General features: G+C 41.8%; 1 annotated feature.

Annotated features, from left to right (window-relative positions):
- Positions 15,438 to 16,323: an enhancer, noted in NCBI's record as "NANOG-H3K27ac-H3K4me1 hESC enhancer chr8:92881686-92882571 (GRCh37/hg19 assembly coordinates)". NCBI's record gives its function as "activates a minimal SCP1, AML or CMV promoter by ChIP-STARR-seq in primed H9 embryonic stem cells {active_cell/tissue: H9 hESC(primed)}" and the evidence as "EXISTENCE:reporter gene assay evidence [ECO:0000049][PMID:30033119]".

Genomic DNA, 17,445 nt, shown 5'->3' on the forward strand with positions numbered 1-17,445 from the left:
AGAATGAAGAGTTAGTGACAGACTCCATTGCTGCCTGATGTCAGAGTTCTCCAAAAGGATCACAGTTAAGTTTTCCATGACTGCCCATATAATTTAAAATTATTATGAGGAGAACCCCTAATGTTCTGAGTAACAAATAAAAAAGAATTTTCTCTAGAAAAATTGCTTATATAATAACTTAATGGGCCCTTATCTTCTCCATTCATTATTGGAGTAGTTTAACTTATCAAACATAATGCTTCATCTGTTGGACAAGAGGAACTTGATAGTCTTTAAGTTGCAAATCAGATGCTCCTACCATGCCAGAGAATGTAGGAGTCTAGGCATGGAACATTTTAAGGTGTGTGTGTTTGAGTGAAAGAAGGAGGGATGGAGAGGGAAGAAAGAGAGTATAAGAGTGTAAGTGTGTGTGTGCATGTATGTATGGGTGGAATGAGAGAGAAATGACTTAGATAACCTAGGGATAACTCTTACGTTTGATCTCAGAGGCAGCGATGATATAATGAAAAGAGTCCTGTGTTTAATCCAGGAGTGTCAGAAGTCAAATCTCATTTCCATCTCTAATTATGAAGCCTTGGAAATGTGCTGAATATGTCTACAGTCACAATTTCTTCTCTACCCACATTGTCCTCAAAGGGAAGCTGCCCCTAACCAAAGTGGCCAAGTGGCAATATTTAGACTTTGCAAATCCCTCTGCCTGAATGCAGCTGCTTGGGCCAAAAGTGAACACCCAATCCAAGGGCAAATAATCACTAGGAGACCCAGTGACTTGTGAGCCTGGATCAAAGAAATAAGATGAGCTGATCAGGTTCTTCCTCTCTGTCTTCAAAATCTGCCAGTTGTGTTGAGAATCTTTGGTAAAGATCAAGACATAGAGCTGGAACAGAAAATAGTGTGATGACCTAAAATTACATAAAAGCAGGTAGTAGCAGAATACAAAGAAAGAAAGAAAGGGTTACTGTATCATGTTAGTGACAAAACGCTAGGGGGTGGTCTATGCCTCTGACATCTCTAGATATCCAGAAGGATGCCTTGGCCCCACCTCCATGATCCCAGGGCATTTTAAATATTAAGTTCTTGACTCTTCTCAAGGTTTTTTTTTTTTTTTCACTCCACATAGATCCCAACAACAACCCCCTTTAGTTGAGCTTTCTTGTGTATGGTGGAGGTGTCTCTTTATCACCCTAACTCAGGTGCCTAAATGTATCTTTTTATGACTGTATACCTTTTAATAGAAACTCCTTTAGGTAACAAAAATCTGGTTAAGATTTTCATAACATCTCTTATAAACAGTCAGATAGGGTTCCCTCTTCTACATCAGTTTTTGTTGAGGGAGGGCTTTCTTCTAGTTATAACATCAAACCAGGCCAACCAAAATAAGCACATCTTGGATGGTGTCCTTACGTTTTAAGCCAAATTTAGATATTCAGCTAGTGGTCACACATTTTGTTTCTTCCGATAGATCTCATCTCTCCTGTTCTTCTCTTTGGGATCTCTTGTGGCCTTATCTTCCTCTGAGGTCACTGTCAAAGAATCTCTGACTTTCCTTTTACATTCATAAGCCCTCTTCAACCAACCCCAAGTAGCCTACCTTTCTGTGTCTGTCTCATTCCTACTCATTCTATGTACTGAGTCCTTTCTAAGAAAACTAAGAAGGAGAAAAGATGGTCACAAAAACTAAGCATATATTCAGAATTTACACAGAAGTACCTTTACAGATGTTGCATAAAAGGAAACACAGCTACCCTTGTTTAAAACTTAGATTTTGATATATAAGATTATTAGTCTTATGCCTCTTTGTGCTAGGCATAGAGTCCATGTCCTAAATCTAGGGGTGAAGATCAGAGAAAATCATGTAATTGTTTTAATACAAGAACTGTAACAACAGCAACAACAACAATCACTTCTTATTATCTCAAAATATGAATATGCATAAGTCACTTTATATTTCATTTAGTGTTCATGACAACCTTATTAGAAAGGTTCCCATACTAATTCTAAAATGAGGATGTGGCAACCCTAGACTACTAAACACAGCCTAGTTCCAAATGCCTTGCTTTTTTACCCTATCATAATTGATTTCTTTTGCCTCACTTCCTCTTTAAAAACAACCAAACCCACTTCAGGCCTTGCTGACACCAGCTGCTGGTAGCAAAGGCCACTGTAAACATTCAGTTCGCTGAAGGCCCCCTGACCCTACTCTTAGGGTCCACATGCAGGAATGAATTTCTATATCCCTTATGCCTCTGGTGTTCTAACAAAGTCTGGCTATTTATCTTTATTTTTTTTATTATACTTTAAGTTCTGGAATACATGTGCAGAACACGCAGGTTTGTTACATATGTATACACGTGCCATGGTGGTTTGCTGCCCCCATCAACCTGTCATCTACTTTATAACCACCCCTTGAGATGAGCTCTGAAGCACCTACCCTGCAACAAGTAATGATAACTGCTCGCTTAATCAGAGACCGACTCAAAAGACACCTACCAACCCCACATATAATACAAAAGAGACCGCTGGGCTGACTGCAATCAGTTATCCATATGTTTTCTGATTTGGAGTCTTTGATTGGGATAAGGAAAAACTCTCACATTGTATAGCACTTTGCAGTTTTTAACAATGGTCTCATCTTCATTGTACATTGTAATCACCTGTAGATCTTTAAAAAGTATTGTTGCCCAGTCCCACTCTCAGAATTGTGATTTAATTATGACCTGAGTATTATGATTTTTAAGAACTTCCCAAATGATTCTAATGCATAGCATTTGGGAACCAGTGGTTTATATTGTCTCCTGTCTGAAGACTAAGATATGTGAATGCGAACAGTTACTATTCTACGCTGTATTAGAATTAGCCAAACAAAATGCAGCAGCTCAGTATTCAGTCTGCACTTCCTAGATTTACAAACCTCGGTAAAGTTAATTATCTGCAAAATGGGAATAATCATGGCATATATCTTTTGGAACTCTTTGAGACTTTACATAATATCTGATAAAAGAACACTTGGAACAGTAAAATTTTTATAAATAGCTATCATTATAATTATTATGATTATGTAACTTAACTATATCATGAACCATATTATGTCACAATTACTTATTTATGAGGCATTTTTCTCATTAGGTTTAGAAGAGCCAGTTAGACAGGACCATGGCTTTTACCTTTGTCTTCCTGGGATCTAGTATAGGATTTGGTCCATTGAAGACAACCAATTGGAATTTGTTGAGTGGGTAAGTGGATAGATTAACCTACAGAAGTAGCATAGTGGGTACAAATAACAGTGGAAAGGAAAATCAAAGACTAGGGTGAGAATCACGTCTCTGTTATTTTATGAGCTTTGTGGGTATGGGAAAGTCCCTAGCTATTTGAGGACTTGAATTTTCAATCTGTAGCCATTAGCTAATGATTTTGATTACTTAATATGTGTTCTGCTCTATGTTGGGCACTGGGGATATAAAGATGAGTAAGACACAGGCCCCCAACCCTTCTTCATTTCCTGGGCTGATAAGAATTGGTTCAATAGTTATTAAATCATAACAATTATAGTAAGACTTTAGCATCTTCTTTCAAGAGCTTCTATTGTCATACTTTATTTTCCATCTATTTTCCCTTAAATATTATAAGGTGCTAGACGTAGCACAATTAGAGCTTAGCAAGATATAAATAACTGTTAGACTAAACCTGTGAATAAATAGTAGTTTTTCAAGGCATCTATCGCATTCATTCCATTTGAAAAAAAAATAGTTTTTAATAACATTTTCTGAAGAATAAGACAATAAAACCTTTACAATGCTTTCACATGGAGGGTTTCATTGAGTTTACAGAGTCTGTGTATTCAAAATGAAGATTTGTAAATGTCTGAATCTTTATCCCCAAAGCACTTTTCTTCTAAAATGAATAAGTATTTGATATGACTCATCCAAATAATTGTTTAAATTGCTGAAGTCACGTGAAGGAAAAAAATAGAATCACTCATGTCTTAACTTTATCACATAAATCCTGTAAATATTTTAAAATCTTTTTCTGTAATGCTGTTTGTTTTTCATCAACAGGGTTAAGGCATATTCATATGGAATTTTCCTTCTTTGTTTGTCTAATGTATTTTCAACAAGGTATTTCAGGAAAAAAACACACACACATACACAGACAAATTCAAGTTCAAATCTAGCCTCTACTGGCTTTATTATCTTGGAAAAAGTTACACGCTTGTTAAAGGGAGATATTAGAACTTACCTCATTGGACAATGTGACCACTTAATTAATTATTTGATTAACTTAATTATATGTCATAAAATTTATCAGTTATTTATATAATGAAATAATTCCGTTATATGTCATGTGAAAACATTGGAAGCAATACAGATACTCCATAAGTGTAGATGTTATTTTCAGGAACAAGCTCCTTAAGCACAATTTTCACTACGTCAACTGCTGATTCTTAAAAATGACATAGCTCATCAATTACCTATGTAATGCATTCCATATCCATCAGGAGGTGGACATTCCCACATCTGGTCTCAAACCACAGGATTTTCCAATGATAACCCCCATAGCCTTCTCATCTTCAGACATCTGCCCTTTGCTCTAAGCGTGCCACATAGCTCCTGTACTATCCCCCAAATATAGCCTCCCTTTCCCCCACCTAAGCTACTTCTGTTTTCCTCAGCTCCTGCAGCACTTTTTACTTCTCACATAACACTAAAAATATTCTACCTAATAACAAAAGAAAAATTGTTTAAAAATATCTGTCTTCCTAACAATGTTGTAGGGTTTTTTTTTTTTTTAAGGCAAAGACGGTATCTTCTATATCTTTGTATTCTTCCCAGCTCTTAGCAGTCAGCCTCTGTCATAATGAATATGTACTAGGAGCTTGCTGAATTGAAATTACTTATTTGATATTAAGCAGGCACAGTAATATATCAACTATGTTTTTTTCATTTTTCAACTGATTTTGATGAGAGATGTTAAACATGGGTTCCAAAGCGATTATAGTCAAAGTTAACAGAACTCAAAGAGTTTGCATGCTAGCAAACAGTAGAGATAATGTAGCCAGGTATTAAGAGAAAACCAAAGGGCCTGAAGGAAGTTGCACAAAATGAATTCATTGAGCTGCTCCTTTTTCCAAGGAAGCATGAAGATGCCAGGGATAAGATAGCATAGGCTAGTAGCAGGGTGCAAGAATTTTGGAGACTATATCATCCAGCTTTGAATTCTGGCTCAATCAATTACTGCCTTAGGCCCTTGAAAAAGTAACTGGACCTCTCTATGCAACATCTACAAGTTAAAAGATGGGTTTTGTGTGAGGAGTAAGTGAGTTGATATATGTGAAGCACGTAGGGTAGTGCCAGGCATATTGTAAGTGCTATGTAAATGTTTATAAACAAATAAGGGACATGTGTCTCAGAGAAACTCCCCAGGAAAAGGAGAAGTCAAAACACAGACAAAGAGGTGATAATTGATGAAGCAAAGATCTAGAAGAATGTTTTTTATAGTGGGATTCCCAAACAATCTATATCAGAATCTTCTTTGGGCTTAGTAAATGCACATTTCTGGACCCTATATCAAAATTCCCTTATAAAGGGAATGGGGGAATTCAGAAAGTTGCATTTTAGTAATATTCCCAGGCGGTTCTGGGAATGTTTATTTAGAAACTACTTGTCTGGGCCTCTGCTGCTCAAAGTGTGGCTTCAGGACCCCTAGCACCAGCAGCACCTGGAAGCTTGTTAAGAATACACAGTCTCAGGCTCTACTTTAGACCCACTGAATCAGAATCGCATTTTCACAAACCTCAGGTGGTTCACAAGTATACAAAAATTGGATAAGCATCCTCTATTCTAGAAGATAGATAATTTGGGAAATAGAATCTGCCCATTAGAATGGGATTTAAGATACATGAGAAAGGGGCTTTTTAAATTTTTTTTAGTAGAGAGAAGTAAGTGATAGAAGTGGTACATATATAGTCACTAATTGATATAACAAACATATTAAGTGTCTCCTACATTCCAGAAACAACTTTGATGCTGAAGAACAAGACAGACATGGTCTCTACCCTCTGGGATGTATCAACTAAGGCAATAATGTGACAGATAAACCCTGAAATCCCACAAACTTCATCCCATGCGAGTTTACTTCTCAATAAAAATGAATGTGGATATTCCTAGTTGGCAGGTGGAGTTCTCTAGAGTCATTCAGAAACCAAGGGCTCTTCTGTGACTCTGCCCTCCCTGGGTACCATATCTTCTGCATAAAGGCTGGTTGGTAGAAAAACAGAGTTCAGAGGATCGCATGGGAAGTGCTCACAGGCCCTGCATGGAGGAGTGTGCACCCCTTCTGCTGACATGTCATTGACCACAGCTCAGACACGTGAGCACCCTAGCCTAGAGGCTGGGAAATTCAGTCTAGCTCTGTGGCCTGCAGGGGGAGGAAGTGGAGATTTGGTGAACACATGGCAGCCTCTCTCATGTTGAGTTTACCAGCTAAAGGCTGAGGACACAGAGTACAAAGGAGAGAAATAAAAGGCCAGAAAGGATAAAGCTAGTACTGGGAGCCAGGTAAGAAACCTCTGTTAGAATAGATACTTGGTGCATGGGGCATGATCAGACTCCTTTTAAAGAAATAGTAATATTTTTACACACACAAAAAAAGAGTTTATGTGTTGATTTATCTAACCTTTCCAATAACTCTACAAGGTAAGCACAATTACTTCTTTCACTGCACACATGGGGAAAATGGGACACTAAATAACTTGCCCAAATTTGTGAGTAGCAGAGTCAGCATTCAAACTCAGTAGCCAATGTCCTCAGGAGCACCAGGCGACACTGCCTCATCCTGCTGGCCTCACACTGGCTGGGCTGAAAGAGGCTGAGAAGTCATGTGGAATCTGACAATGCAGTAGACAGCATTATTCTTACACAGACAGAATTTGAAGTATTGAATTTAAACAAATCATTGGGGAGTGACAAGATATTACTTTTAAAAAACTATATATTTGTTTTGGTTAGTACATATAGCTCTATTCATGTGATATCTTTGGGTTGCAAGCAACAAAAACCAATTCTGATTAATTTAACCGATGATAGATGTTTTGGAATGATACCAGATAGCTCATGGAATAACAGGAGGGCTGTAGATAATAGAACCTGCCTCTTAGTGCTACAGTGAATCTTACATTATATAATATGCTATATATATGTCCTAGCCTAGTTTCTTCTGAAAACAGAGCCTGAGATAAAGGCTTATGAACAGGTGGGAGATTTGGGAAGTGATCTCAGGGAAACAGGAAAATAGGAAAAGCCAATACTATAATAAGTTATGGAATTAGCCACCACTATGAACAACTTCTGAAGAATCTATAAAAATACTCTCAAAAGTGTCTCCCCAAGAGATACAAGGAAAGCACATCATCTTCTATCTTCATTTGGTCAAGAGTAGCCCCATGGGCGTCGACTTACCTTTCACTTTGTAGTTATGGAAACATCCCACATCAGAGAAGACCCAGGTCAAGAAGCAAGTGGTACAACCCTGCAGGCCTGAGGGAAGGTGTTATCAGGCTGCATCTGGTAAGGAAGGTGGAAGCCACAAAACTGTCAGTGTGACATGGTCAAAGGAAAAAAGAGAGGATACAGAGAAGCACTAGGAATGGCTGGTACTGTATACAATCTGCTTATATATTATTGCTGAACACGCAGCAAGTACTGAGTGAATAACTGCCAAGCAACGAGACTGGTTCTGGGTATACAGAAGGAAGAAAAGAAGACTCCCCAGGTGATTGCACTGTGGTCAGGAAGAAGAGACAGACATTTTCAGTGACCCTTGAAGAGCCAGCTAAGTGGTCTGGTTCTTGGAGATAAATTGTGATTCATTATTACTAAATGTCCTCTTTTTCTAACAGCACTTTAATTTACATGAATGTTAATTACTAGAAATTTAGCCCTACAATGATGTAATCAAATAGACAGTTCTCTGTCCTGAGTAAATAAAATGAATTGTTCTTTCAAAATCACTTATGTTCAATCTCTACATTTTCCCCTTATTTGGAAGAATCACACAGAAAAGTGGAAATTATAACACAAAGCCATACATGTACCTAATGCATACCATTTCTTTACACAAAGGGAGCTGGATTAAGTGAAGATAACAAGAAAGACTAAAATAGGCAGGAAAATCTCTTTTAAAAGTTCACTGGTCAGAGATAATCACCCTGCAACTATGTATTTCAGAGTAGCAGGACACCATGAACTAAATTCATGATAAAAACATGTTCTTTTTGTTAAATCATAGTTGAATACATCTGGAAATCAAAACTTAGAAGAAAGGAAGACATGGCATTTTCTCTTAAGAGAGAGTGCTAAAATGTTTCTTCAAATGGGGTAGAGGAGAAAACGTGGAAGTTATAAGATTTTGATTACTTTTAGTGGTCTTTCCTCTGGACGCTTTGAAACCAGTCACATCACAGAGCTTTTCAGCTGTCCTTACTCCTCCCAACTTGGCAGTCCTAGGAGTTCAGATTTTTAGGGAATTTGTTTTGTAATCAAAGAGAAAACTGTAAAATAACTGTGCCCTTGCTTGCTATGGATTTATTTTGCCATGAAAATTCTGAACAGTTAGGAAATGCAACTGGTTTTGACGAATTTGAATTAGGATACTCGAATTTGGCAAATTACAGAAAATACCTGTTTTCTGTCGAGTCAATAGGGCAGGAAACAGATGTTTGTTTCAACTCTCATTGGGCTGCCAAATGGAGGATTGTTTCCACTGATGCTTGCTGTATTAACTATAGAAACATAAAGGGTATAGCAATTTCAAACTACCTTTCTCAAAGATTAAAATGGCTTCACTAGATAATTAAGTTAGATTCTTGAAAGGTGAAGATAACCTCCTCACAAAAGACCAAGCACATGTGCCATGTTTATTGGGAAGAAAATAAGGAGGTACTGCAAATAGTAAAGTTGTGTATTGCTCTGTAAGCCTTCTTCAGTTGGATCATTTATACATTTGTTTTATCTAATTTTAGCATTGTACCCCAGCATTTGATCCCACATGAAATATGAATAAAGTAATAGTTCTAGAAGATGACTACATTAATATACACCACTATAGAGAGATAGGGAGTGACCATTTACCACATTTTTCTTTTGTGCCTGAAAGAAAAACAGAAATGAAATAAGTCTTAGCTATCAGAAGTACTAGATAGCCATAAATGGCTATTCCTAATTCCCTGAACTAACATGGGTGGCAACCTCTGGCAACATGCTGTGCATAGCCTGCTTGGCCTCCACAGTAGTCTTTTAATATGAGATGAGGTCAGGGAGGAAGGAGGAACCAGATCAAGGAGGAAAAGAGCATCCAACAGCCAAGACTCATAGGCTTTGCAGGGGTTTTGAGATTTTTTTTTTTTCTAATTGCTGTAGAAAGCCAGTAGGGCTTAAAGTAGAGAAGCAATATAATGTACCTTGAAAAAACTGTTAATTTTGTGGAGAGTGGATTTTAGGGAGCAAAGATTAAAGGCAAGGAGAGAAGTTAGAGGCTATTGTAGTAGCTAGAGTGTGAGCATGATGGCAAACTGCATTGAGATCTGTGCCACCTTGCTTAACATTTTGCTCAAATTTCGTTTGCCTGGAAATAGGGAATCAAGTTAAGAATTAATTTATCTCTGTTGCTTTGCTGCATAAATGGGAAATAGATACAGCTGCCAATATTAGAAACACAATGGTTGGGTGGATTAAAGAAGAGGAGGTTTATTTGCCTTATATTGCAAAAAGTCTAGGCATACCTCATGGTTGCAAGATGGATCCTGTACTTTCAGATCTCTTGATCACATTCCAGCCAGAAATAAGGAGGAAGGGAAAAGAGGAGAAGAATTTTCTCCTAACAAGAATTTGACCTTTCATGTAGAAATGTCAGAAATGTATTTCTTCCAAAATATCATTTACTAGAACTGTGTTCACATGGCTAACTCAAAGTATAAGGAAGGCTGGGAGATTCAGTATGTAATTATTTCAAATATTTTCACCCAGGCACTTTGCCACCCTGAACCAAACCAGAATTCTCTTAGCAAGAAAAAGGGAGAGTGGCTGACAGATAGGGACTAGCAGGATCTGCACTCTACCAGTGGTACCCTACCCTGTGATTCTATGACATATGCTCACCTAAAACACAACAACGGGCTATAACACAAAAATGATCAATACATTTTCAGACACTATCTTAGACTCCTGATGACACTAAAGATGCACTCATCATTTATAAAATACATATTTATTATGAGAACACTTCTTCAAAATAATAACCTACTAATTTTGGAAGGCATCCTCCCCTTATCAGGCAATGAAGTATCTCAGTATCCATTATATAATGTTCTTTGTTCAATTTGCATTGGGATCATCATTACTAACCAGATGTGAACATTTTGATTACTGGCTGTTTGTGCTATTACTGTCTTCTATCCTGGTATTCTGTCATCAACATCAAGATTACACTAAATGCTCCTACCCAAAAAGAGGTCAGAGGAGTCAAGTGAAAAGAAAAGTTTACAAAGATTTAAATGACAAACAAAATTTGAAGTTAAATCTAATTTAGTTTAAAACTGATTTAAAAAAAGTCAAATTTCTATGTCTATGAAGATGGCTATGATGAACAAAATAAGTGAGCTTTATTTGAGGGACTAGATTATTTAAGTATTACAATGTTTATGCTATTGTTAATGTTTAGTAAGGTGTCATCTTTTTATATATAGAAATAAAACCACATACATATACATATAAACACACACAAACATATATACACACACATACACACACACACACACACACACACATACATACATATATATTTTCTCTGTAATGGCCTTATTCACCTTTGGGTCAAGTATTTTCCAAAATTTTCTCCAGCTTTATAATAAAAGTCAGTGCAAAATAGCACTCAATTTGCTGAATTTATTCCATTAGGGTTTCTCTAGATTACCTAAAAGGCATAGGGTTGGTCTAGGTGACCTTTGGGATTCTAGCTCTGGGAGCTCTAAGATTCTAGTTCTAGGATTCCATGTTTCCAGAAGGTAGGGCTTTCCTAGCGTTCATGAAAACAGAAAAGTTAAAGCATGTCTGACCTGAAGTACTATATTAGTTCATTCTCACACTGCTAATAAAGACATAGCCAAGACTGAATAATTTAAAAAGGAAAGAGGTTTCATTGACTCACAGTTCAGCATGGCTGGGGAGGCCTCAGGAAATTGACAACCATAGTGGAAGGGGAAGCAAACATGTCCTTCTTCACATGGTGGCAGCAAGGAGAAGTGCCAAGCAAAAGGGGGAAATGCCTCTTATAAAATCATCAGATCTTGTGAGAACTTACTCACTATCACAAGAACAGTATGGAGGTAACAGACCCTGTGATTCAATTACCTCCCACTGGGCCCCTCCCATGACACGTGGGGATTATGGAAACTACAATTCAAGATGAGATTTGAGTGGGGACAGAGCCAAATCACATCAAGAATGTACATGTTTAACTTGGTTGGAAGTAGGGAAGGAGAGGAGAAGTTGACTTTCAGACTCTTAATGAGGACATCACTATGGTTGCTAGTCTCTGAAGATGGACCATGCCTCCTGGTGTGCAAATCCCATGCATAGTCCCCTCTGCTTGAGGTCAGTCTGATCCTGTGACTCACCTGTGACTGACCAACAGAATGTAGTGGAAGTAATGCTGCATGACTTCTGAGGCTAGTTTATAGAGAACCTTGCAGCTTTTACTGGGGTTCCTTTGGAACACTTATTTTGAGGGAAGACACTTGCCATGTAAGAAGATGACTCCAAGTCTTCCATGTTATAAAACAGCCCAAGTTAGCCACGTGAGAAGCCACATGGAAATAGAGAAAGACACAGCCTGAGTTGCTCCAACCATCCAAGCCCAGGTACCAGACATGTGAGTGAAGAAGCTATTTTGGATGTCCAGCCTAGTCAAGCCTCTAGATGACTCCAGCCCAAGCCACCATTTGACCGCAAATACATGGGAGGTTCCAAGTGAGTGGTGATGATCAGAACCTAGACAAACCACAGAATCATGAGAAATAATAATAAAATGTTGCTGTAAACTAGTAAGTCTTGGGTGGTTTGTTATGCAGCAACAGGTCATCAGAACTACCATCTGGCATGAACAATTTAGAGGATTTTGACATAATTAAGAGTCAAAAACTCTGGGCTGTGCTGTTGACTAATCAGAGTTTCCTTATCTGTAAATTGAGATCCATTTCGTCTTTCAACATGTTTGTTGAGTGCCTATAGGATGCTAGTACAGTGCTTTGAAAAAAGCAGAGGGGCCAAACCTTCATGACTTATAGACTAGAGGAAGAGACAAACAATAAATAAGAAAACAGTGAAAGAAAACACTGCCTGTGGTGATGAGCATCATAAAGGAAAAGTGTATGGGGTGGAAAATAACATGGTTGAAAGAGGAAACAACCTATTTTAGATAAATAGATTTGGAAGATGTCTTTAAGAAAGTGGGAATCGGGCTGAGATCATAAGAAATGAGAAGAAATCAGCTATGGAGAAATTAAGGGATAAGGGTTCCAGGTGGTAAAAGTGATCTGCACTTCACAAAGTTGTTAGGACAATTAAAAAATAAATGTAGACAAGCAGTAAAGATGTGTAATACGTAAATACTATTTTCTCCTCTGTAGTATTTCCAGTTCATTCCCTTAGTGAAGCGATTTAGTTTCCTTTAATTCTCCACAAGCTATGTGCTGATGATTCCTCCATTTATACCTTGGTATGGTATGAATGCTTGCATCCCCCCAAAAAGCATATGTTGAAACTTAATCACCAATGTTGATGGCAGCAGCAGGCCATCCAGAGTGGCTGCTGCCATCACACCAGCTGCAGCGAGAGGCGCAAGCGGTGGTGGCAGGAGCTGCTGCAGGACCAGCAGTGGTGGCAGTGGGATGCGCCACCCCCACCCTTGTGCAGCCAGGCAAGACCTTCCCCTAGGCCTGGAGCCTCCACTGCCCGGACCCTGGCCCCGCATCACTACAATGGCCCACCACTGCTGCAGGGAGGGCCTGGGAAGGAGGCAGACAGTCACTGGAGTCTTCCACTGGAAGACCCCTGGAGCTCACCATCCTGGGGGCTGCTGCAATGGAGCCAGGCCAAGTTACCCGCCGATGGGGGAGCAGCATGGTTGGGCAAGATGGGGTGGGCCGAGAGGGGCCCCAAGGTGGAGCTGGGCCTGGGGTGGTGCCAGGCTTGAACACAGAGCAGGAAATGGGAGCATTGCCTGCTTCAGAGACCGGACTAGCAGCATAGCCACCACACCCATGCCACCAAGGGTGTTACATTCCTGCACCTCAGGAGAAGGCTCATTGTGGAGCTGCCTGGGGCTGTGTCCCCAGGGTCCACACCACATCAAGGTGACCACCAAGCCTGATGCCCCCAAAGTCCAGGCCTGGGGCCCATGATCTGCTCCTGGAAGCAAACCCCTGGGCAGGGCCACAATCCAGACAATGGGGAGACCCAGGCTGCCCCTGAGTGCCAGGGCCATGGGAAGAACTTGCAGCAATGTCACCCCTCTCCTGGATGCTGGCCCAGGCCCAGCAAGGACCTGTAGCTCCTGCCCCAGGCTGCAAGGAGGCTTGGCAGGGACTGCATGCTTCACAGAGTCCCAGGAGCCAGGGACAAGTGACCCTCCTGGGTTGGTGTGGCAGGAGATCTTTGGACGCAGTTGCAGCCTCCCTGCTGTGGCTGCAGACCAGGCATCTCTGCACTCTCGGGGGCCCAGGAATGTCTCCCTACCCCACTGAGAGCTCAAAGGTGCCTGCTCCCGCTGCCTGGCTTCTCCCCACTCTCAGTGCCTGCTCCAATCTCAGAGCAAGGTTAGAGCCAAGCCTGGGCACTGTCACAGTCCAGCTGGGGGTGCACATGCTTGGGGCAGTGCTGACATGGTAGCCTCCTGCCACCTCAGCCCCCTCTGGACTTTGGGTGCTGACCAGCATGGAAAGGAGGTCAGGGGGTGAGGGGATGAGAACAGCCTGGCACTGGCCTGCAGGTCCCCCTTTGAGATGAACAGTCTGGGCACCATGAATGGTAGCAGGAGGCAGACAGGTTCCTGGGAAGAAGGGGGTGGGTCCCTGGTGAAGCCCCACCTTCAAACTGGGGATGGCCTGAAGCCTGGAGACCAGGCCTCTGGTCCCTCAGACCACAGGGGGAACTTGTGGTATTTTCCCCTGGGCCTTCCAATGGCCGCCCATGGTCCAATCAGCAGGCACTTGCTTCTCTCTGAGACCCATTAAAAAACCCTGACTCAGTCAGACTGGAAGAAAGGATAGAGAAATAATTGGGAGATGAAGAGACGACCTGCCTGCAGAGAGGAGCAACCCACTCCAGGGCCTCTTCACTGCTGAGAGCTGCAGACAATGGGATGATCAGAAAGGGTTATCTATGGGATGGTCTACCAATGGGATGGTAGAAAGGTCTAACAATGTTCTAGCAATGGGATGGTAGAGAGGAGCTACCCTCTCTGCTGAGAGCTGAACACTTCTTGGGACAACCTGCCTGTGGAAAAGAGCTACCCTCTCTGCTGAAAGCTGAACACTCTTCAGGACATCCCAGTTGCTGAACGGAGACACCTCCTGTGGGTCTCCTCTGAGCTGTTCTATCACTCAATAAAGCTCCTCTTCATCTTGCTCACCCTCCATTTGTCTGCATACCTCATTCTTCCTTATTACAGCACAAGAACTTGGGACACACCGAATGGTGAGGCTAAATGAGCTGTAACACAAACAGGGCTGAGACATGCCCTTTGTTTGTACCATTGCAGGTGAAGAGAAGGAGAGAAGAGTTGCAGCCCTTCAGGAAGCCCAGACCTGGGAGCTCCCCAAAACAGAGCTATGATTTCCTCTTTGGGGCCCTGCAGTTCTTCACATCTCAAAGCTTCTGGGTGCCACCATATTCCCCTGTGCCAGCTGGGGAAGCAGCTTGCAGTGCACATGGTCCAGCCACAACCTAAATGAGCCAGCACCCATGCCAGCACCCAAAGCTGCCCACCCTGCTGCAGCAGCCAGCATGTCTCACTGCACAGTGGCTGGACCCCACACTCACTCACACATCCCTCACTACTCCATGCCTGACATGCCCTTTACAGGCCTAGGATCCAGGCCAGTAGCATGAACCAAGCACAGCCTGCCAGGCTGAGTAAGTGGAACGAGCCCAATTGGCCCAAGCAAAACTCAGGCAAATGCACCACCAGCCACAGAGGTGTCCAGACAAGCAACACCCCAAAGACCACATAACAATGTGATAGTATTTGGAGGTAGGGCCTTTGGGAAGTTATTAAGTTATGAGGGCAGAGCTCTCATGGATGGGATTAAGAACCTTAGAGAAGAGGTCCCAGAGAGCTTCCTTGCCTCTTCCACTGTGTGAGGACACAGCAAAAAGAAGATGCCTATGAACCAAAGAATGGGTTCTTACCAGACACAGAATCTACTGGTGCCTTGATATCGATTTTGGAGCCAAGATGGCCGAATAGGAACAGCTCTGGTCTACAGCTCCCAGCATGAGCGACGCAGAAGACGGTGATTTCTGCATTTCCATCTGAGGTACTGGGTTCATCTCACCAGGGAGTGCCAGACAGTGGGCGCAGGTCAGTGGTTGTGCGCACCGTGCTCGAGCCGAAGCAGGGCGAGGCATTGCCTCACTTGGGAAGCTCAAGGGGTCAGGGAGTTCCCTTTCCTAGTCAAAGAAAGAGGTGACAGACCGCACCTGGAAAATCGGTTCACTCCAACCCGAATACTGCGCTTTTCCGACAGGCTTCAAAAACGGCGCACCGCGAGATTATATCCCCCACCTGGTTCAGAGGTTCCTACGCCCAGGGAGTCTCGCTGACTGCTAGCACAGCAGTCTGAGATCAAACTGCAAGGCGGCAGCGAGGCTGGGGGAGGGGCGCCCACCATTGCCCAGGCTTGATTAGGTAAACAAAGCAGCCAGGAATCTCGAATTGGGTGGAGCCCACCACAGCTCAAGGAGGCCTGCCTGCCTCTGTAGGCTCCACCTCTGGGGGCAGGGCACAGACAAACAAAAAGACAGCAGTAACCTCTGCAGACTTAAATGTCCCTGTCTGACAGCTTTGAAGAGAGCAGTGGTACCCCCAGCACGCAGCTGGAGATCTGAGAATGGGCAGACTGCCTCCTCAAGTGGGTCCCTGACCCCTGACCCCGAGCAGCCTAACTGGGAGGCACCCCCCAGCAGGGGCACACTGACACCTCACATGGCAGGGTACTCCAACGGACCTGCAGCTGAGGGTCCTGTCTGTTAGAAGGAAAACTAACAAACAGAAAGGACATCCACACCAAAAACCCATCTGTACGTCACCATCATCAAAGACCAAAAGTAGATAAAACCACAAAGATGTGGAAAAAACAGAACAGAAAAACTGGAAACTCTAAAAAGCAGAGCGCCTCTCCTCCTCCAAAGGAATGCAGTTCCTCACCAGCAATGGAACAAAGCTGGATGGAGAATGACTTTGATGAGCTGAGAGAAGAAGGCTTCAGACGATCAAATTACTCTGAGCTACAGGAGGACATTCAAAACAAAGGCAAAGAAGTTGAAAACTTTGAAAAAAATTTAGAAGAATGTATAACTAGAATAACCAATACAGAGAAGTGCTTAAAGGAGCTGATGGAGCTGAAAACCAAGGCTCGAGAACTACGTGAAGAATGCAGAAGCCTCAGGAGCCGATGCAATCAACTGGAAGAAAGGGTATCAGCGATAGAAGATGAAATGAATGAAATGAAGGGAGAAGGGAAGTTTAGAGAAAAAAGAATAAAAAGAAATGAGCAAAGCCTCCAAGAAATATGGGACTATGTGAAAAGACCAAATGTGCGTCTGATTGGTGTACCTGAAAGTGATGGGGAGAATGGAACCAAGTTGGAAAACACTCTGCAGGATATTATCCAGGAGAACTTCCCCAATCTAGCAAGGCAGGCCAACATTCAGATTCAGGAAATACAGAGAACGCCACAAAGATACTCCTCGAGAACAGCAACTCCAAGACACATAATTGTCAGATTCACCAAACTTGAAATGAAGGAAAAAATGTTAAGGGCAGCCAGAGAGAAAGGTCGGGTTACCCACAAAGGGAAGCCCATCAGACTAACAGTGGATCTCTTGGCAGAAACCCTACAAGCCAGAAGAGAGTGGGGGCCAATATTCAACATTCTTAAAGAAAAGAATTTTCCACCCAGAATTTCATATCCAGCCAAACTAAGCTTCATAAGTGAAGGAGAAATAAAATACTTTACAGACAAGCAAATGCTGAGAGATTTTGTCACCACCAGGTCTGCCCTAAAAGAGCTCCTGAAGGAAGCGCTAAACATGGAAAGGAACAACCGGTACCAGCCACTGCAAAATCATGCCAAAATGTAAAGACCATCAAGACTAGGAAGAAACTGCATCA

Source organism: Homo sapiens, chromosome 8 (assembly GCF_000001405.40).
Source record: "Homo sapiens chromosome 8, GRCh38.p14 Primary Assembly".
Lineage (NCBI taxonomy): Eukaryota > Metazoa > Chordata > Mammalia > Primates > Hominidae > Homo > Homo sapiens.